This window comes from Homo sapiens, chromosome 2, assembly GCF_000001405.40.
Source record: "Homo sapiens chromosome 2, GRCh38.p14 Primary Assembly".
NCBI lineage: Eukaryota > Metazoa > Chordata > Mammalia > Primates > Hominidae > Homo > Homo sapiens.
Genome location: NC_000002.12, coordinates 23,427,804 through 23,449,799, shown reverse-complemented (window position 1 = coordinate 23,449,799; position 21,996 = coordinate 23,427,804). Strand labels below are relative to the sequence as shown.

The window sequence follows — 21,996 nt, the reverse complement described above, 5'->3', positions numbered from 1 at the left end:
AGTTCAGTTGTATGGGCCATTGGAGAGGTTAAACATTGTGCCTAAGGTTCTCTAATTAGTTGATGACCCCAACTAATGGCCTCTCTGTATCCAGAGAGGGCAACTTTGAGGTACCCTTTCCACCATGACCTTGAGCATGACTGTGTGACTGGCTTTAGGAAAATGCATGCACATTTCAACTTCCTCTTTCATTTCTCAGAAATTGCTATAAGAACACACTGGCTGGACTATTGGAGGATGAGAAACCAGCCTACTTAGTGAGAGATCAGCCAGCTAACCCCAAGCATGTGACAGGTCCCAGCCAAGATAAGCAGAGCCACCTAAGTGACCTGCAGCTGACCACTGATGCATGAGTGAACCCAGCTGAGAAGAACCAGCCAACCTATAGACTAGGCGAACAATATTACATGTCTACTGTTTTAAGTCAGTGAATTTTAGGGTGACTTGTTAGGCAGCATTGTTAGATCAAAGGGTAATGGATACAACCAGTCAATAGCCATTAGATAGACACCATCAAAATCAGTCCTCAAAGGATTCAGAGCCAGCTCAAGAGTCCTCCTTGTACCATACAGACACATGGACTAGAGCTGTGAACCTGCTGAAGAAACAGAATATGGAGAAGACATGTTTGTCATGGAGTCCAGCCAGCCCCAAGCATGAGCTCACGGGATTCCTGTGAGGCAGTACACTTCACAGAGCTTAGATGCTGGGAACACACAGCCTGGCTTCAAATCCTGGATCCACCACTTCCTGTGTAAGCTCTGGGAAGTTATTTAATGTGTGGGTCTGCAGACTGGCTCAATCAACATCCATTGGACCTTCCTCCCCATGTGCCTTGCTGTATGCCAAAGTTGGCAAAATGACAACGACCTATTCCTTTGCACCTCCAGGTTCTAGATGTGTTTAAGATTCTACCAAGCAGACGTGTTTGCATATGCTTTGAGAAGCTAAGGAAATGAGGTGGAGGCCATACGGTGGTAGATTCTGCCGTTCTCTGGCAAGCACAGGCAAGGAGACCAGTCACCAGTTTTGCAGGTGTGCTGAAAAGCAGATTGCAGGTGCAGCAAAAGGCATGCCAACTCTGAAGCAAACAGTCATGGTCACCTCTCCTGGTCCCCAGAAGGTGGTTGAGTGGGTGTTCCTGGGGTTGACAGTTCCTGCAATAGAGTCCTGATTCTCAACTTTCCTGACTGTGGAAGCAGCAATCTTGAGGGTCCAGCCATGCAGTGTCCTGTTGAGAATCACTCCTGGAAGCTGAGCCTCCATCCTGCTCCTCTAGGCCCTTCTAATTCTGGAAACTCCCAATCCCCTCTATTAATCTTTTCTTAAATAGCTGGTGAGGTTTGTGTTTTCGGGCATCTGAACTGATATGGATTCACTTAACCTGCATGGACCTCAGTTTCCTCATGGTTTAAGGGATGGTGATATCAACTGCCTCAAAGGGTTGTCACAAGGATCTGATTAGATTACCCATACTGAGCACTTAGAACAGTGCCTGGAATAAGGAAAGTGTTTCAAATCTTATTATTCTTAGATTTGTAAATCCAGAAACCTGCTGGTGTCAGAGCACCTGCAATTGACAAACTCTGGGGACTGGGGACATCTAGTATATTCTGATTTGGGAACCTCTTTCCTAGTCTTCTCACACGTCCTGTGGATCTTCCAGGAATGGGGAAGTCCTTAGTATACAAAGTATTAGTATACTAATACTTTGAGTATTTTCAAAGTCTTGGGCCTCATATACTTTTACTTACCTAGGCATGGGTCATTTCTATGCACGAGCTATCCTGACAGTCATATGACATGAAATTACAGGCATCTCCAGCCTCTGATTTCCTCCAGGCTCATAATCCCTTATCACAAGTCCTTGGGACCAGATATGTTTTGAAATTCAGATGACAAACGTCATATATCATGATACTCCCAGCAGGTTCTGGGACAGTACTCCAGAATCAGACACAGTCATATTTCCACAGCAAAAGGTATAAGGATTCACATCTATTGGGATAAATAAGGACTATAAATGGCCTCATGTCAGTTTAGGCTGGGTTTTGCTGTCAAATGATTTCCTGTTTGCAGAGCCTTTTCTATTTCAGAATTTTGGCTAAGGGATATGGGCCCTTCGGATAAGAAATAATGACACAATAACGGTTTAGACACTGAGACTCAGGGGAGCCTGGTCATCCAGGAAGGGACAACTGGGCCTCAGCCAAGGCCATTATCAGCGTTAGGAAGATGCAGCAGACTGATTTGTGATGCAGGAATTTTTATATTTACATGGATGCTTGATCAAATACAACAAATGCAGAAATTTCCCAGGCAAGGAGAAAGGTGCAGAGGCATTGATGAAGCAGGAAGCAAGGCCAATGCAGCCACCTTAGGTACCAGCAGAGCTCAGGGCTAGGTACTGAAGCAAATGGGGGCCTAAAGGGAACAAAGCAGTCAAGGCCTCCTCGAGGTGGTGTGGCCCATGCACAAGTTCAATGGGCACTGGACCAGGGAGAAGTATCATGAAGTGAGGGAGATAACACGTCATGTACAAAAACAAGTGACTGGATGGCAGTGGATGCCTGCAGAAAGGTCTGCATTTGGTCCCAGGGACAATACAGGATTTACTCCAGCACACGTCCACGATGGCCACCATGAGTCAAGGTGCAGATGTGTTCAACAAAGTCAAAAGCAAATGCTTCAAGCTGACTGTGGCATCTAACACACGTGTCTGAACCTGTATCAGCTTGAAAATCCTTCTGCATTTATTCCTATCTCACTGAAAACGATTAGATTTAAAGGATGAAAGCTGCTTGACCTGGAAGAAAAGGTGTTTTTCTGCATTAGGTAAACCTGTCCAAGAAAAGTTCCTTTGAGGAGTGCAGTAAATCCAGCCTGAAATCAAGGACTCTGCACCGTTTCCATATTTCACTGCAGCAGAAAGTCATCAGTCTTATGTGATTCCCTTCCTTCCTTCCCTCCTCTTTCGACAATATATACTCCAGAACTGCTTGCAAAGATGCACATAATTTAAAAAGATAAAAGGAAAATAATGTCAGGAAAGCTGGGTAAAAAGAGGAAAAATAAAATCAGGCGTGAGAGAATGATGTAGTGAATTCTCAACACCTTGGGTTTTACAGGGCTTTTCCTTAGCACATCCCTCAGTACAAGGCCATGACCTGTCACTAATAAGCCTTGTTTATCAAAAGCAATTCCACAAGGAGCCAAAATAGCACAGATTGGTACACAGTACCCTGACAGTCCAGCAAGAGCCAGGAAGAGCTTTTAGAGTATCCACAGGAATAGACGTGCCACTCCACGCTGCAGGCTAAGTGCTCAGTTTTGGGCTTTCACCATCTTGGGGTGGGCTGGCTCTCGACTATGGAAGAATATGACAGAGGCACACTGTCCTGGGTCAAGATGAACTTCAAGAACCTTGGGTCTGACAGATCAATGGAAGAGAAGAGAAAGTTGGCAAATAGACCCCATGTGGAAATTTGGTGTATGATAAAGGTAGCATCTCAAACCTTTGGGGGAAAGATGCATAACTTTTTGGAAAAACAAAACTGGATCCCTATCATACCATTCACCAGAAAAAAAAAAAAAACTCCAAATGCATTAGACAGCTAACTAAATAATGAAGTTCTATGTGTACTAGAAGAAAACATGAGTGGACTGTTCCTTAATCACCAGGGAGTGGAAAAGTCTTTCTGATTACGATTTGAAATACAAGACTGATAAAATAAAAATAAAATAAATGCATTGCAAAAATATAAGTTAAAAAATGAAAAAACGAAGAAAGGAAACCATTTGCAATTTAGAGAAAAAGGCTTAATCTCTCTAATTTAGAAATTCTCTGAAAGGAAAAAGACCAATCACATGACAGAAAAATGAACAAAAGATGTACACAGTTTATAGAAAGAAAAGGGGAGATGGCCCTTAGACCTATGAAAAAAATGTGTAACCTTACTCATAAGATAAACATACAACAAAACAGAAACACTCATTTCTCATTCATCATATTGGCAAAGAGCCTTAAGTTTGACAAGCATTTTGTGGTTAAGGCTGTGGAGACACGTGTTCTCACACATTGCTGAGGGAATGCAAAATGGTACAGCCCCCAGAGAGGAGAATGTAGCAATATCTGACAAATTACACCTGTTTTCATCTTTTGACCCATCAATCCCCCTTGCTGATATGCCTTCACATGTACGAAATGACATGCACTAGAGATTACTCATTGCAGCACTGTCTGTGCAAGAAAAAGACCGGAAACAACCCAACAGCCTATGGACAGAGAATTTGCTGAATCCCTTCCGGGGTAGCCACACAGTGGAGAAGTACATGCAATGGACAAAGAGGATGGCCTTGAAGGGCTGGTATGGAGGGATTTCAAGGCTATATTAAAAAGCGGACAATGCAGGGTGAAGAAGAATATAGAGGACATGCTGCTGCTCTTGTCTAAGAAAGAAGGAGAAATAAGAATGAGTATGAAATCTTTTCTTTTACAAAAAGATGCACTGGAAAGAAAAAAAACTAGCAAAATGGTTATCTATATAGGAGAATGGAGCAGAAAAGACAGGAATGGAATCAAGATTTCTATGAGGTTACTGTATTATATGGTTTTGACTTTTAAACCACATATATAAAGTCTTCACTTAATGCCCTTGTTAAGGTTCTTGGAAACTGCAACTTTAAGTGAAATGACATACAGCAGGTCCTGGAATAATATCATTTCATTCAACATTGTCTTATAACACTGTGAGGAAAAAAATTGGTTTTGTTATATGTCATTTCATTTAAAGTCACAGTTTCCAACAACTTATGGATGACATTGAGGACCTGCTATATAATGTTTTATATTTTCTAAGAAACAAAATTAATTTTAAAAGGGGGGTAAACCTTACAGTCCAAAACACATGAAGCTAACTGTTTATAAAATTGATAACATAATCACACAAAGAATTTTTTCAAATGACTTTTCAACTCATTTGAACTCTGATCGTACATCTGTAACGGGATATATTCTAAGGACAAAAAGAAAGTGCCAAGAAAAGCTTCACTTGGTAGTTTTATTGTTAGTAATAATATTGGTGTTATAAGTTTAAGACTATTTTATGTGAATATATGTATTATACACAAACAGGTAAACATGTTAACGCACAGGAATCAAAATTTCAGTTTGATGCTGGGTGCAGTGGTTCACGCCTGTAATCCCAGCACTTTGGGAGGCTGAGGAGGGTGAATCACCTGAGGTCAGGAGTTTGAGCCCAGCCTGGTCAACATCGTGAAACCCCATCTCTACTAAAAATACAAAAAATTAGCTGGGCATGGTGGCAGGCGCCTGTAATCTCAGCCACCCGGGAGGCTGAGGCAGGAGAATCGCTTGAACCCGAGAGGCGGAGGTTGCAGTGAGCCAAGATTTTGCCATTGCACTCCAGGCCTGGGCAACAAGAGCAAAAACAAACAAACAAAAATTCAGTTTGAGAAAACATATAGAAATATATATAAAAAGGTAAAAAGTTAAGGAAAAAAATCTTGAGTTCTAAATCTGAATTCAAAACATCAGTTTGAACGCATAATTTATTAACTATGTTTCCTAGCTCTATCCACTAAATGGCCTTAGAACGAGCATCCCTAGTGCCTAAGAGGTAAGTCCCACTAAAAAGAACCAGGATTCTTTAGAAAAATCACGGATTCTATGCCTGAAACAATAAAAATACAATTTGTCTGGGGCATATTGTGCCTAAAAGCAAGGAAGAACTCAAAGAGAGACATGAGGTCTTCCTTACAAAAACTTTCAGCTAATAAATGTAGAAAGAATGATAGGATTTTAAAAATCACCATTTTACAATACCCCTGCTACCTCACATAAGGGTTACCAAGGGATGCAAAAGCCATTAGGTGACAAGTTCTTGGGAAACAGCATATCTGCTCCTTGCCAAAGTACCACCCGAACAGATTACTTGCTAATTACAGAAGGAAAAAAATCTACCTTCACAATGGCATCGCCTCATGTTCATCCCTTTAACCTAATGATTAAACCAAGTCAACTACAGGGGACACCTGACATTATGTGCTGGAAGTGATGCCATATGCAGGACATGGTATCATTTATAAAAATATTCTTACGAAAAGTGCATAACCTGCATCTAGTCTAGCCTTTGAATATAACTTTCAATTTACAGGAGATACAGGGGATAGAAGAATAAGTTAGACAGCACTGCAAGGAAATAACTGGGCAAATGTACTATGTGGGACATTCTGCAAGATAACTGGCCTGGTCTCTTCCAACAGTCAATGCTATGAAAGGGAAAAAAGTGGAGGGTTATTTTAGAGTAAGAGACTAGAGGGACAATAACTAAATGTAACATATGAATAGATTTTTAAAAAACAATTCTAAAAATTTGTTTTGGCCACTCGGGAAATTTGAATGTAGACTGTATGTTAGATGATTGTGGAGAATTTTTTATCTTATTAGGTGTAATGACCACTGTGGCAAAGCAGGAGAATGTCCCTATAGTTAGGACACATGTGCTAAAAAGTACTTAGGGGTGAAGGTACTTGATGTCTGAAACTTTCAAACAGCTCAGCAAAAAATATACATAGATATGCATGCACATATAAATTAAGCAAATATGGCAGAATATTAATAATTTTTGAATCTAGGTGGTAGGTATCCCTAAATGCCCTGTACTATTCTTTAAACTTTTCTCTATGTTGGAAATTTTTCATAATAAAAATTGGGGAAGGGAAAGGGGAGCTTACAGTGGCTCCAACACAAGGGCCTGAAGTGGTATCACATTCAGCGTGGCAGCTACAATTTCAACTTGGAACCAGTGGGAAGCATAGATAATGGAACATCCACCTTGAACAGAAAGACTGTAAGGCATCCATAAAATATTTAACTCTGGGCAAAACTACTTCCTGAAGAAAATGACATGAGATTCTGGTCTGTCAAATGTCTGCCAGTTTGAATAATGGACTGTTACTTTGGTGACACCCCCAACCAAACATGGCTCCTAGATCCATGCCTCTGTGTATGGCCCCTCCCACACAGACTCTGGGGTTGTACATGTGCATTTGTTTCCTCTCGCTGCTGTAACAAATTACCACAAACTCAGTGGCTTAAAACAACACAGATTTATTACCTCATGGTTCTGGAAATCAGCAGTCTAACAAGAGTCTCACTTGGCTGAAGTAGAAGTGTTGGCAGGGATGTTCCTTCTGGAGGCTCCGGGGAAGGCCCATTTTCTTGCCTTTTCTGGGCTCTAAAGCCTGCATGGATTCCTTTGCTTGTGGCCCCTTCCTCCATCTTCAAAGACAAACTCTGCATCACTCTCATCATTGCTCCTGTCATCACATCTTGTTCTCTGACTCTGACTCTCCTGTCTCTGTCTTTCACTTGTAAGGACCTTGGGCTGGACAAAGTGGCTCACACCTCTAAATCCAGCACTTTGGGAGGCAGAGATGGGAGGATCACTTGAGCCCAGGAGTTTGAGGCCAGCTGGGGCAACACAGGGAGACCCCATATCTACAAAAAATTTAAAAAAATTAGCTGGGCATGGTGGCACAAGTCTGTGGTCTCAGCTACTTGGAAGGCTGAGGTGGGAGGATTGCTTGAGCCTGGGAGGTAGGAGATAGAGACTGCAGTAAGCCGTTTTTGTGTCACTGCATTCTAGCCTACAAGACCCTGTCTCAAAAATTAAAAATAAAGGACCCTGGTGATTACACTGAGCCCACCACATAACCCAAGATAGCTTCTCCACCTCAAGAGCCTAACATTAATCACATCTGCAAAACCTCTATTGCCATGTAAGATAACATACTCAGTTTTCTGCGATTAGGACATGGACATCTTTGGGAGACCATTATGCTGCTCATCATACTATGTGACTGGTTTTAGCCAATGAGATATGACCAAACATGATACAAGCAGAGGCTGAATAAGTGCTTGCACAGTGGGGCTTGTTCTCTTAGAACTTTTAGTATCCTTTATTTCAGAATCCAACCATCATGCTGTGAAAAGCCCAACGTAACCACATGGAGAGGCCACATGGAAAGGAACTGAAGCTGTGGTCAACAGCAGCAGTTGAGTTCCCAGTCAACAGCCAGCTCCAACTTTCTAGTCATGTGAGTGAGCCATCTTGGAAGTGCATCTTGCAACCTCAGTCAAGCCATGTTAGCTGGCATCATGAAGAGCAAACATGAACCATCCTTGCTGAGCCCTGCCCAAACTGCAGAATTCTGAGCAAATAAATGTTGTTCTTTTAGGTTACTAAGTTTTTTTTTTCTCTGATTTCTTTTATTATTAATTATTATTATTATTCTTATTATACTTTAAGTTTTAGGGTACATGTGCACAATGTGCAGGTTAGTTACATATGTATACATGTGCCATGCTGGTGTGCTGCACCCATTAACTCATCATTTAGCATTAAGTATATCTCCTAATGCTATCCCTCCCCCCTCCCCCCACCCCGCCACAGTCCCCAGAGTGTGATGTTCCCCTTCCTGTGTCCATGTATTCTCATTGTTCAATTCCCACCTATGAGTGAGAACATGCGGTGTTTGGTTTTTTGACTTTGTGATAGTTTACTGAGAATGATGATTTCCAATTTCATCCATGTCCCTACAAAGGACATGAACTCATCATTTTTTATGGCTGCATAGTATTCCATGGTGTATATATGCTACATTTTCTTAATCCAGTCTATCATTGTTGGACATGTGGGTTGGTTCCAAGTCTTTGCTATTGTGAATAGTGCCGCAATAAACATACGTGTGCATGTGTCTTTATAGCAGCATGATTTATAGCCCTTTGGGTATATACCCAGTAATGGGATGGCTGGGTCAAATGGTATTTCTAGTTCCAGATCCCTGAGGAATTGCCACACTGACTTCCACAAGGGTTGAACTAGTTTACAGTCCCACCAACAGTGTAAAAGTGTTCCTATTTCTCCACATCCTCTCCAGCACCTGTTGTTTCCTGACTTTTTAATGATTGCCATTCCAACTGGTGTGAGATGGTATCTCATTGTGGTTTTGATTTGCATTTCTCTGATGGCCAGTGATGATGAGCATTTTTTCATGTGTCTTTTGGCTGCATAAATGTCTTCTTTTGAGAAGTGTCTGTTCATATCCTTTGCCCACTTTTTGATGGGGTTGTTTGTTTTTTTCTTGTAAATTTGTTTGAGTTCATTGTAGATTCTGGGTATTAGCCCTTTGTCAGATGAGTAGGTTGTGAAAATTTTCTCCCATTTTGTAGGTTGCCTGTTCACTCTGATGGTAGTTTCTTTTGCTGTGCAGAAGCTCTTTAGTTTAATTAGATCCCATTTGTCAATTATGGCTTTTGTTGCTATTGCTTTTGGTGTTTTAGACATGAAGTCCTTGCCCATGCCTATGTCCTGAATTGTAATGCCTAGGTTTTCTTATAGAGTTTTTATGGTTTTAGGTCTAATGTTTAAGTCTTTAATCCATCTTGAATTAATTTTTGTATAAGGTGTAAGGAAGGGATCCAGTTTCAGCTTTCTACATATGGCTAGCCAGTTTTCCCAGCACCATTTATTAAACAGGGAATCCTTTCCCCATTGCTTGTTTTTTGCATGTTTGTCGAAGATCAGATAGTTGTAGATATGCGGCGTTATTTCTGAGGGCTCTGTTCAAAAAAAGGCAGGGGTTGCAATCCTAGTCTCTGATAAAACAGACTTTAAACCAACAAAGATCAAAAGAGACAAAGAAGGCCATTACATAATGGTAAAGGGATCAATTCAACAAGAAAAGCTAACTCTCCTAAATATATATGCACCCAATACAGGAGCACCCAGATTCATAAAGCAAGTCCTGAGTGACCTACAAACAGACTTAGACTCCCACACAATAATAATGGGAGACTTTAACACCCCACTGTCAACATTAGACAGATCAATGAGACAGAAAGTTAACAAGGATACCCAGGAATTGTACTCAGCTCTACACCAAGCGGACCTAATAGACATCTACAGAACTCTCCACCCCAAATCAACAGAATATACATTTTTTTCAGCACCACACCACACCTATTCCAAAATTGACCACATACTTGGAAGTAAAGCTCTCCTCAGCAAATGTAAAAGAACAGAAATTATAACAAACTGTCTCTCAGACCACAGTGCAATCAAACTAGAACTCAGGATTAAGAAACTCACTCGAGACTGCTCAACTACATGGAAACTGAACAAGCTGCTCCTGAATGACTACTGGGTACATAACGAAATGAAGGCAGAAATAAAGATGTTCTTTGAAACCAACGAGAACAAAGACACAACATACCAGAATCTCTGGGACACATTCAAAGCAGTGTGTAGAGGGAAATTTATAGCACTAAATGCCCACAAGAGAAAGCAGGAAAGATCCAAAATTGACACCCTAACATCACAATTAAAAGAACTAGAAAAGCAAGAGCAAACGCATTCAAAAGCTAGCAGAAGGCAAGAAACAACTAAAATCAGAGCAGAACTGAAGGAAATGAAGACAAAAAAAACCCTTCAAAAAATTAATGAACCCAGGAGCTGGTTTTTTGAAACGATCAACAAAATTGATAGACCACTAGCAAGACTAATAAAGAAAAAAAGAGAGAAGAATCAAATAGACACGATAAAAAATGATAAAGGGGATATCACCACCAATCCCACAGAAATACAAACTACCATCAGAGAATACTACAAACACCTCTATGCAAATAAACTAGAAAATCTAGAAGAAATGGATAAATTCCTCGACACATACACTCTCCCAAGACTAAACCAGGAAGAAGTTGAATCTCTGAATAGACCAATAACAGGATCTGAAATTGTGGCAATAATCAATAGCTTACCTACCAAAAAGAGTCCAGGACCCGATGGATTCACAGCCAAATTCTACCACAGGTACAAGGAGGAACTGGTACCATTCCTTCTGAAACTATTCCAATCAATAGAAAAAGAAGGAATCCTCCCTAACTCATTTTATGAGGCCAGCATCATCCTGATACCAAAGCCTGGCAAAGACACAACCAAAAAAAGAATTTTAGACCAATATCCTTGATGAACATTGATGCAAAAATCCTCAATAAAATACTGGCAAACCAAATCCAGCAGCACATCAAAAAGCTTATCCACCACGATCAAGTGGGCTTCATCCCTGGGATGCAAGGCTGGTTCAATATACGCAAATCAATAAATGTAATCCAGCATATAAACAGAACCAAAGACAAAAACCACATGACTATCTCAATAGATGCAGAAAAGGCCTTTGACAAAATTCAACAACCCTTCATGCTAAAAACTCTCAATAAATTAGGTATTGATGGGACGTATCTCAAAATAATAAGAGCTATCTATGACAAACCCACAGCCGATATCATACCGAATGGGCAAAAACTGGAAGCATTCCCTTTGAAAACTGGCACAAGACAGGGATGCCCTCTCTCACCACTCCTATTCAACATGGTGTTGGAAGTTCTGGCCAGGGCAATTAGGCAGGAGAAGGAAATAAAGGGTATTCAATTAGGAAAAGAGGAAGTCAAATTGTCTCTGTCTGCAGACGCCATGATTGTATATCTAGAAAACCCCATCATCTCAGCCCAAAATCTCCTTAAGCTGATAAGCAACTTCAGCAAAGTCTCAGGATACAAAATCAATGTACAAAAATCACAAGCATTCTTATACACCAATAACAGTCAAACAGAGAGCCAAATCATGAGTGAACTCCCATTCACAATTGCTTCAAAGAGAATAAAATACTTAGGAATCCAACTTACAAGGGATGTGAAGGACCTCTTCAAGGAGAACTACAAACCACTGCTCAATGAAATAAAAGAGGATACAAACAAATGGAAGAACATTCCATGCTCATGGGTAGGAAGAATCAATATTGCGAAAATGGCCATACTGCCCAAAGTAATTTATAGATTCAATGCCATCCCCATCAAACTACCAATGAGTTTCTTCACAGAATTGGAAAAAACTACTTTGAAGTTCATGTGGAACCAAAAAAGAGCCTGCATCACCAAGTCAATCCTGAGCCAAAAGAACAAAGCTGGAGACATCATGCTACCTGACTTAAAACTATACTACAAGGCTACAGTAACCAAAACAGCATGGTACTGGTACCAAAACAGAGATATAGATCAATGGCCACTAAGTTTTAATGTGGATTTTTGCACAGCAATATATAAACTGAGACAGGCTGTAGGCTGTACGCCAAGTGAATGCTGGAGAGCCTATACCGAAAGTGTTGACTTCGAATTTAGCCTAAGTATCCAGCAACCCTTCTTTATGGTAATAATTAGATAGCAGAACCTGTTGTCTACTAATTCCTTTCTGAATTCATGAAAACAAAAACCAGGTCACCTACGTAAAAGAAAATGCCTTTCATCCTAGTCTCTCCAGCAAGAGGGATGCCACCTTCAACTCATCCAAGAGTGGGATTATATCATTAAGGACCTCATTAAAATGATGGAAGGCCACAATACCACACCAAGTTGCAATCTCATAGATCAAGAAACCAATCTCAATTTCATGGAACTAAATGAGGTTCTGTGAGATAAACTGCTGCTCCCAGATAAACTAGATTAGAATGACTGTTGATTTTACCCAAGTCTGTTGTTTTAAATAACTGATTCAGATCCTGGTTTGCATAGACTTGGCCTGCTTAGTACACTTTGCCCACACATTCCGCTGAACCCGGGCTTTCAATCAAGCCGGTGGCCCAGCTAAACCCTAGCAAAGGGGAATGATTATCAGAGAGTCTGGATCTTGCCAGGAGCTTTTTCTACACTGGATGGAAACCAGTTCCTTTCTGGTGTGTGGGAATTTGTGTTTTCGGTTTCATTACTCTTGGAAAATATGCTTAAAATCATTCATCCTCCATTTCCTTCCTTCTGGTCTGCAATGCTCCTAGCAACTGCAAGGGAATAAACAGACGCAGCTTCTAGTCAGAGAAACAGCTCCCAAGTCTAAGGCATCTCTTTAATTTATAGCTATGGGCATGAAAACGTTGACCTAGCAAGACATGGGCTTAAATGGTGCCCCAAAAGCAAATAGCAAAAATCATTCTCATTTTCTCCACGGCTGCGGAAGCCAGGCTGCATCTCCAATGCATTTTCAAGTCCCCACGTAACTAACTTGACCTGAGACCCTCAGAATCGTCAGGGCTCCTCTTCCCGCTTCGCAGCGCTGAATGCGCACCTGTGGCTTTGTACTGCTAACGACAAGAGCCGCCCAGCAGATCCACACCTGTGACTCATCTGCTTTTATCTGTGCAGCTCTCGGTGCCTAAACCCACAGACAATGAGGAGAGTCATTCTGCTCCTGAAGCACAGGAAGGCTTCCAGGCGGTGTCTGTGGCTATCACCACACAATTAAGACCATATTTTGAGGGAGAAAAAAATGTGGCTCTCAAAGATGGCTTTGCAACTCCAGCTTTTGAGAAACTGAAGGTAAACTTCTCTGGTGCTGAGACACACACACACACACACACACACACACACACACACACACACACACACACAAAGCTGATTGGCTATTTACTTCTCTTAAATCCATGGATGTTTACTGAGTATCAGCAACATGCTCAGCACCATCTAGGCACTGCGGGGAATACGCAAGAAATACAGAAACATCCCCATGCACTGAAAGCTCAGTCATCTGCAATAAAGCTATAGAAGGGGAAGCAACAAGAAGAAACCCACAAGTTAAGGAAACAGCCATCACAGAGGCTGTATACTTTAAGAGGAGTTGGAGATTTGAAAAGCCCGGGGCAGAAGATTAGAAATAGCCGGAGGATGAGGGTCTCGAAAGCTCTAGGACTGAGAAATGACAGCTGAAAGCAAAGAAGGGAAGAGCCAGGAGGGAAACAACAGCTTTCCTTTTTAAAAAAAAAAAAAAAAAAAGAGAGAGAGAGAGAAAGAAAGAAAACCCAGAACTAGCTAAGCACAACAGCCTGGGGCCATTCATTGCTGGGGCAAAGGGTTCCAAACACCTCACCAGGCCTTGAGGCAACTGACAATAAGGATAGCTGCAATTATTCACAGCAACTATCCCATCGCACTATGCTTACAATATGTTCTACTTCCTTTCCTGAAAAAGGCAGAGGGTGATGTTCAGTGGTCACTATTTAGAAAGCTTTCCATCCAAAAACAGTTAATTTAAGTTCGGGCATTTAAATGAATAAACTTAGTGGAGCAGAAAATTGATTTACGTGCAACCGCAGCTCATTCCCCAAACTTGGGAGCTGAATTTGACTTCCCCTTCATCATGTCACCCAAACCATTCCCCAGCCCTGTGGATTCTTTGTCACGCTATGACTGTCCTGTTTAGGACTGTCATATCCACCTGGACTCTATGGCTCCCAGTGGTCTCTAGCCTCTCCCTGATCAGCCTATAGCCTTTCCCTGATCCAGCCTAGCTCAGCCTCCACTTGACAGGCCATCTTCCAAATGTGCACCTGTGACCCATCGCTTGTATGCACAGAAGTCCCCAGACGGCTCCCTGTATCCTGAGGAGATACAACTCAGTATGGCCTTCACAATCATCTAAAATCTGACTCTGTCTGCCTCCCCAGTGCCATCTCCTAATGCCCGACCTTACCCAACACCATACATTCCCCGTCTCCATGGCACCAGTCCCCATTCTGAAGACCACACTCCAATGTTGCCACTTTTAAGGTGCTTTCCCCAGTGAATTCACATCCTCCTCACCCCCATCACACCCAGTTCAGGCCTCACACCAGCCCTGAGGACATGGAGCTATGGAATGGCGTTTCATCAGCTCTGTGAAAGCAGAGTTATGTCTTGTTTATGCCAATGACATCAGTTTCCTCAGCCAGCCTCAGCCCAACCCTTCTTCCCACTTCCAGAGCCTCCCTCTGGCAGGTGGTAAGACAGCCTGACACTCCCCACCCCCTCTCAGGCTTTGACAGGCACAGCCTGCCTCGACCACACGATGCTGGGCCAGGGGTGATCAGCTCACAGCTGGACTGACTGCCCACGGGCCCCGAGGAGAACCAGGATTTAAGCACAGCAATGGCTCAGTGTAGCCAGCCTCGCCCCATTATGGATGACTATTTACAGCATGTCAAAACCCAGCCTGCTGCAAAGCCACTTCATCTGACCCAAATATTTGTTCTTTTGTAGAAAATGTATATAAAACCCCAGTAACTGGCTCACCAGAAATAGCCTGGGGGAAGGACTCTCAATGTCTCTTCTTTCTTTCTTCCCGTCTACAAGGCCCAAGTTTGAAATCAGGAGAACTTCCATCCACGATGGAACTGTAATTGACTGACTGCCTCACGTTTTAATTAGGGTTGCATTCTTGACTGGTGCCCTAACCTGAGGGGAGGGTTTGCACAAGGCCTTTCTCTCCCCACCAGGGAATGGGAACCAAGGCTCTGCACTTTGTCAGAGCCCAGGGCTCCTGGATTTGGGCCATGACTCACGGAGCCTAGCTTTTTTTTTTTTTTTTTTTTTTTTTGAGACGGAGTCTCGCTGTGTCTCCCAGGTTGGAGTGCGGTGGCGCAATCTCGGCTCACTGCAAGCTCCGCCTCCCGGGTTCACACCATTCTCCTGCCTCAGCCTCCCAAGTAGCTGGGACTACAGGCGCCCGCCAACACGCCCGGCTAATTTTTTGTATTTTTAGTAGAAACGGGGTTTCACCGTGTTAGCCAAGATGGTCTCGATCTCCTGACCTCGTGATCCGCCCGTCTCGGCCTCCCAAAGTGCTGGGATTACAGGCGTGAGCCACCGCGCCCGGCCGGAGCCTAGCTTTTTAAAGGGCTCTACACACTTGCACACACCCACAGACACATACCCTCAAACACTAACGAAACTTACTGCACTTGGATCTTGAACAGTTAACTGTTCATTTTTTCTCTTAGAGACATGGTCTTGCTCTATTGCCCAGGCTGGAGTGCGGTGGTGTGATTGTAACTTACTGCAGCCTCAAACTCTTGAGCTCAGGCAAGTCTCCCTCCTCAGCCTCCGGAATAGCTCGGACTACAGGTGTGCACCACCATGCCCAGCAATTTTTAAAAAATTTTTTTCGTAGAGATGGGAGTCTCATTATGTTGCCTGGGCTAGTCTTGAACTCCTGGCTTCAAGCGGTCCTCCTACTTCAACCTCTCAAAGTGCTGGGATTACAAGTGTAAGCCACCCTGCCCAGCGCTCATTTTTTGTCAAGACACCATCATTGCTTTGTGAAATTTAGTTGGAAATCCATTTGCCTACATAACGTAGGCAGCACCCTTCTCTTACCAGCTGCTGTGGGGATGTACTTTGTCCCCAGACCAATGTCCCACAGGTGCCAGGACACCTGGACAGCACTGCCAGGTCAAGTATGAGCCAGTGGCCTCCGCGGCCACTCCCTGCCCCTCCTCCCCCAACACCAGATTCCCTCATGGGGATGATGGTGCAGTAAAGTCAGAAAAATTGCCCAGGCTTGGCCTCCTCCAAGCTCGGATCCGGGGAATGCCCTAGCAGCTTTGTAGCCACCATAATTCAGGTGCACTGGTAACTCTGCAAAAGGATTTCAACACATGTTCTGGAGGGGTTTCTTGCCATAGAACTTACTCTTTTGCTGGTGGAGACCCAGGCCTCTGGCATAGAAATCCACCCTCTTAGAGGCTGGCGGGACTTTGCAGGAGCAGAAAAGCGCTCGCTGACCCAAGGGTGCTCTGCCACCAGAAGGGGCACCGGCCAGACGGCAGGAGGTGCTCCCCTCCCTTTATCAAGACAACGGAGGGCACACACTCTGAATGTCAGCAAGGAATCAGCACCAGGACCCTCCTGGATGAACCCCAAAGTCCCCTTTGATTCCTTCCTTTCTCTGTGCCTTCCCCCACTCGCAACCCCTGTCTCCCTCACCATGCCCTTTCCTGTCTCTTCATCCTCCCTGCCATTGATAGTTCTTGGAATGAAATATACATACTGGCTGCAGCCAATGGAAACCTGAGTGACCTGGCTCCAGCCAACTTCAACTTCTTCTTAGACCAGTTGCCCCCGACTCCCTCTGCTCTGTTGCCTTTCCAGCCTCAGGGGCACCAGCCCCTCCTGCCTCAGCACCTGCACAGCTCCTCCAGCCCTGGCTGCCTCTCTTGCAGGTCTCAGCTCAAAAACGCCTCCTCAGAGAGGTTTCCCTGAGCTCTGTCACAGGAGCTCCGCTGCCTTCTCCCTCAATCCCACCACCCTGTTGATTTTTTACAGCACTTATCACAATCTGCAATGGTCTTTTAAATCTACATGTGTATTACTGATAAGCCATGCCCCTTTTCCAGAAGTGCAAGGACAGGGACCTTGTCTCAGGCACTGTTGAATCCCCAGAATGGGGCACCATGGCTGGCACACAGCATGTGACTGGAAAATATTTCCTCCAACAAATGAATAGAAAGCTTCCCCATTTAAAAAATAACCAGGGAAATAACTGTAACCAGCTAAGAGCACAGATAGGTGTGTTGCTCGTAGGGCAAAATTTGAAGATAATTTAAATAACCAATAAAGGCAGATTATGTCAATCAATGCTTTGGCATTATTAATTATTAAATACTATTTAACAAGGACGAATTAGATTTTTCAACCATTGACATGAAAGGTACCCAAGATTCTCTAAGTGAAAAAAGCAGATTCCACTATGCATAAGCATACTTTCATGTACAGTAAAATGAAATGATAGCACTAAATAGCGTGTTTATATGTGCATCAAAACCCGAAACAAGAAAGAGATTGAGGAAACTTCGAGAAATGGTGATCTGGAATTGACGTCCATAGTTTTAAACTGTGGTTATCCCTGGGGCGGGTGGTATTATGAGGTATTTTCATTCATTTCTTTTTGGTTCATATTTTCTGATTTTTAAATAATGAACATGTGTTTTCACTGCTTTTTTTTTTTTTTTTTTTTTGAGATGGAGTCTCACTCTGTCGCCCAGGCTGGAGTACAGTGGCGCAATCTCGGCTCGGCTGACTACTGCAAGCTCCGCCTCCCGGGTTCACGCCATTCTCCTGCCTCAGCCTCCCGAGTAGCTGGGACTACAGGCGCCCGCCACAACGCCCAGCTAATTTTTTTGTACTTTTAGTAGAGACGGGGTTTCACCGTGTTAGCCAGGATGGTCTCGATCTCCTGACCTCAATGATCCACCCGCCTAGGCCTCCCAAAGTGCTGGGATTACAGGCGTGAGCCACCGCGCCCGGCCTTCACTGCTTTTTTAATAAGAAAAAAAAGAATGAAATTGAAATGAAGAATAATCTCCCACTGCCCATGTTCACGGCAGCTACTGAGGGGCGGCTGCCGGCGGAGGAGCAGGGCTGGCGAGGAGCCTGTCAAGGGAGTCCCGGAACGGGAGACGGCAGAGGTGGGGCTGCTGGGAATAATTATTCTTTCCCCATTTTGAGCCCACATCAGAGAAAATACACTTGTTAGATAATGAAATCAGAAGCCTCCAGGCATATTTCCTTCCCACGGAGAAAAACCAGCTGTGGTCTTATTCACTGCACTGCTGTTCTATGCCTTGAGCTCTGAACACAGGGTCACACATTTAGATAAAGGACCCATCTGCCAACTCTGGACACCTGTAAACTCAGCTCCAGCCTCGGGAGAGTAGGAAGACCTGTTGGTGCCATGGACTCCACATACACCTCTGAAATGTCTGGAATGGGACACAGAATAGAGGCAGCTCCTCCTGATGCTTCTACACAGGTGCTAGAGGGGTTTTCCAGCAAGACCACTGCAGCAGCTCTGGGGACACTCTCCAGGCTGCACAGCACGGAGAAAGGAGTATCTGTTGTGTCCGTCTATTTCAAGTCTGCATCCTTTCAGTGTAGGGATATCTGGGAAGTCATTTTAAGAAGTAAATGTAAACCAACTGTAAGGTCTAACTGTGTTTGTCAAGAATTAATTCAAAATGGAGTTTATAGACACAGCACTCTGACCTGAGACAATTCTTTTTGCCTCTGGGCCTCGGTTTTACCATCTGTAAAATGGAAAGGCTGGACCAAATGCTACCCAAGGGCCGCTCACTATCTAGAAGAGAAAAAATTAGTTCCCGGGTTCTAACCTAGACCACTGACCACAGTAGCACAGGCATCAGGGGCGCAGCAAGGAAGAGATCCTGTGGGCTGAGGTAGGCAGGGTGAGTTTCCTGGGGAATGTGAAAGCTGAACAGTGCCTTGAAGAATGGGTCAGATTTATGTAACTGAACGGCACTGGGCACTGATGTAATGATCTCAGGCACCTGTCCCTTTTGGGCCAGCTGGAGGGCCCAGAGAGTCCTTCTCAGGGAGGGATTTAACTGTGGGTGATTTTCCTGGGCTCTGAGCTAAGGCAGGTTTGTGAATTCCAAAGCATCAAACAAGCAATAGATTCCTTTTAGAACATGCGTCATCTCATGTAGTCACTGTAAGTGATCTGTGTGAAGCCAAATAGTAACACAGTGGAATTCTTTCAGAATGAGTGGGGAAATCAGGATAGAGGATGAGGTCTTCACAAGGCAGCAGTATGGACTAGTACAATTGTTCTCAACATATGGTTTCCATACCAGCAACACTGGCATTGCTTGGGGGCTTGCTGGAAGTGCAGGATGGCAGGCCTCCCTCACCCAGCTTCACTGAATCGCACACTCTGGAAGTGAGGCCCAGGAATAGGTTTAACAAGTCTTCCAGGTGACTTTCAGACAGGTGAAATTTGATAACCACTGCACTGGTGGAAGGAAGAGAGGGTCCAGAGTCACACGGCAAGGGTTCAAATCCCAGCCCCAGCAAGCTGAATATACCCAGCAACTCAACCTCTACTCGGTTTTCTCATCTGTAAAATGAGATTCATTCATTTTTATCCAGGAGGACTGTTGAGAAGATTCAAGTAGTTAATATATGTAAAGTGCCTATTACAGTGCCAAGTATTAAAAAAATTGAAAAAATATAAATTTAAAGTCACTAGAAGGAAACTTACAAAATGATAGTGGTAGCTGTTGGAAGGGAAAGGGGTGTTATAGGTGATTTCCCTTCCCCTCCTATCTGTTTCCCAAATTTTTTTTTTCTTTTTTCTTTTTTTTTCTTAGACAGAGTCTTGCTCTGTCATCCAGGCTGGAGTACAGTGGCACGATCTCAGCTCACTGAAACTTCTGCCTCCCAGGTTCAAGCAATTCTCCCTGCCTTAGCTTCCAGGGTAGCTGAGATTACAGGCGTCCGCCACCATGCCTGGCTAATTTTTGTATTTTTAGTAGAGACGAGGTTTCACCATGTTGGCCAGGCTGGTCTCAAACTCCGGACCTCAGGTAATCCGCCCACCTCGGCCTCCCAAAGTGCTGGGATTACAGGAGTGAGCCACTGCGCCCAGCCTGTTTCACAAACTTTTGATGAGGCAATTATGTTACTTTGAAAGCACAAAAGAAACATCTGTAGAATGCAGTGAGACCCCCACAACCAAAGCTCTGTCCCTCAGGGCTGGGTGGTGGTTTACACGCTGAGGAGCACATATCATTGTACAGTGCAACCTCTCCCAGGGACATGTGGGCACCAAGGCCCCAGCGCCAGCAACCATGGCTCCCTGGGCTGCACAAAAGCAACTCACATGGAGAGAACAGATCTTAGAGGCCCTGGCTCATCAGTGACAGAGCAGGGCCCAGCTGAGCATGTATGCACACGTGCGTGCCTGGGTGTATGTGAACATATGTACCCAAGTGCAGGCTGGTGTTGGGGAGAGGTGGATGCTCACGATCCTCACCCAAAGAGTTGGCCATGAGTTCCAAACTCCCTCGCTGTGCACACAGGGGAGTCAAGGCCCAGAGAGAAGACACTAGCCCAACCAAAGCTATACCTTGAGCTGGCAGCAGAATCAGGATGAGAACCCAGAGTCCAGCCTCGCTTAACCTGGGCTGAGAGATGTGGTGTAGAACTTTCTATATATTGTCCGAAAAGGAGACTTAAAGGGAAAGGCTGGGACATTGCAAAGCAAAATACTAAAGAAGTACCGGGAGGCTTTGCTGGTTCTGTTGGGGGAGCCAACGGCCCCAAATCATTCCTTGCATCATGTAAAATCTTTTGAAATTTTCAGGGTATGCCAAGTTCCAATTCAGCCCTCAGGTTTGGGCACGAGAAGAGGGACATTGTTCACCACTCGGCCACAAATGACAATTTGACTCACAACAGCCACTGAAACCCTGAGTATCAATCATATAACATAATTAAGTGTGTGTGTGGCGGGGGGTAGGATGGTAAACAAGGTACCTTTCTTGCCTCCAAGGGACTGACGACCTGTATGATGCACTCTGGCAATGGTGCCTGCACACAACAGTTGTGTGGTCATTGTTGGTGCAGGTAGGCGAGAGGAGCTGAGACCGGGACACCCATCACAGCAAAAGACAAAGCATAGTAAAGTGATTATGGAGTGCCAGGAAGGAGGGATAGAAGTTGAGGGAAACTAGTGAAATCCTATACCCATGCCAGACCCTAAACACCTACCTCGCAACATCACTGGGGGAAAATGGGCCTTCAGGTCCCAAGCCTCACATGCAGGGGGACAGCGGAAGACACAGCCACTTGCCGCAGAGTGACTCAGCTCCCCTACATTTCTGCCCATGCAGATTCCTAGACCTGCCCACGTCAACACTCCAAGGCCTTCTGCGGACACGGTCCAAACTCTGTTCTCTCTGGATGGCAGCTGTCGTGGATGAGGCCATGCGGCAGGTGCTCTGTCATTAATCCGTTAGCAGTGATAGCCTGCAATGCTCCATCAGGGTGTGACATATTTCGACACCAATCAAGAAATGAGTTTTCACGCATGCTGATGGCTAATCAAGGCTGCAGGCAGAGACAGACTCTGGCACGCTTGTTAATGGCATTCTCTATTAAACGGGAGCCGCCCAGGTATAAAATAACCACCCAGATAGGAGCCTCCATGAGCACAGGAAGATGGGCAAACAGACAGCTGATGGGCTCCCAACATTGTTTTACTTAACTACAACATGCCAGAATATTCCACAGAACAGATTCCAGTGTTTAAAAAT

At 44.1% G+C, this 21,996-nt stretch overlaps 1 protein-coding gene and 1 long non-coding RNA gene across 2 annotated transcripts in view; one reads left to right on the top strand and one right to left on the bottom strand.

Moving 5' to 3' along the window:
* LOC124907741 (uncharacterized) overlaps positions 1-8,270 on the top strand; it is a 33,975-nt gene extending 25,705 nt beyond the window's left edge. The window contains exon 2 of the long non-coding RNA XR_007086244.1: positions 7,993-8,270. This is a non-coding gene — a long non-coding RNA (uncharacterized LOC124907741). The remainder of the gene's footprint in view (positions 1-7,992) is intronic.
* KLHL29 (kelch like family member 29) overlaps positions 1-21,996 on the bottom strand; it is a 323,428-nt gene that overhangs the window by 258,807 nt on the left and 42,625 nt on the right. The window lies entirely within an intron of this gene.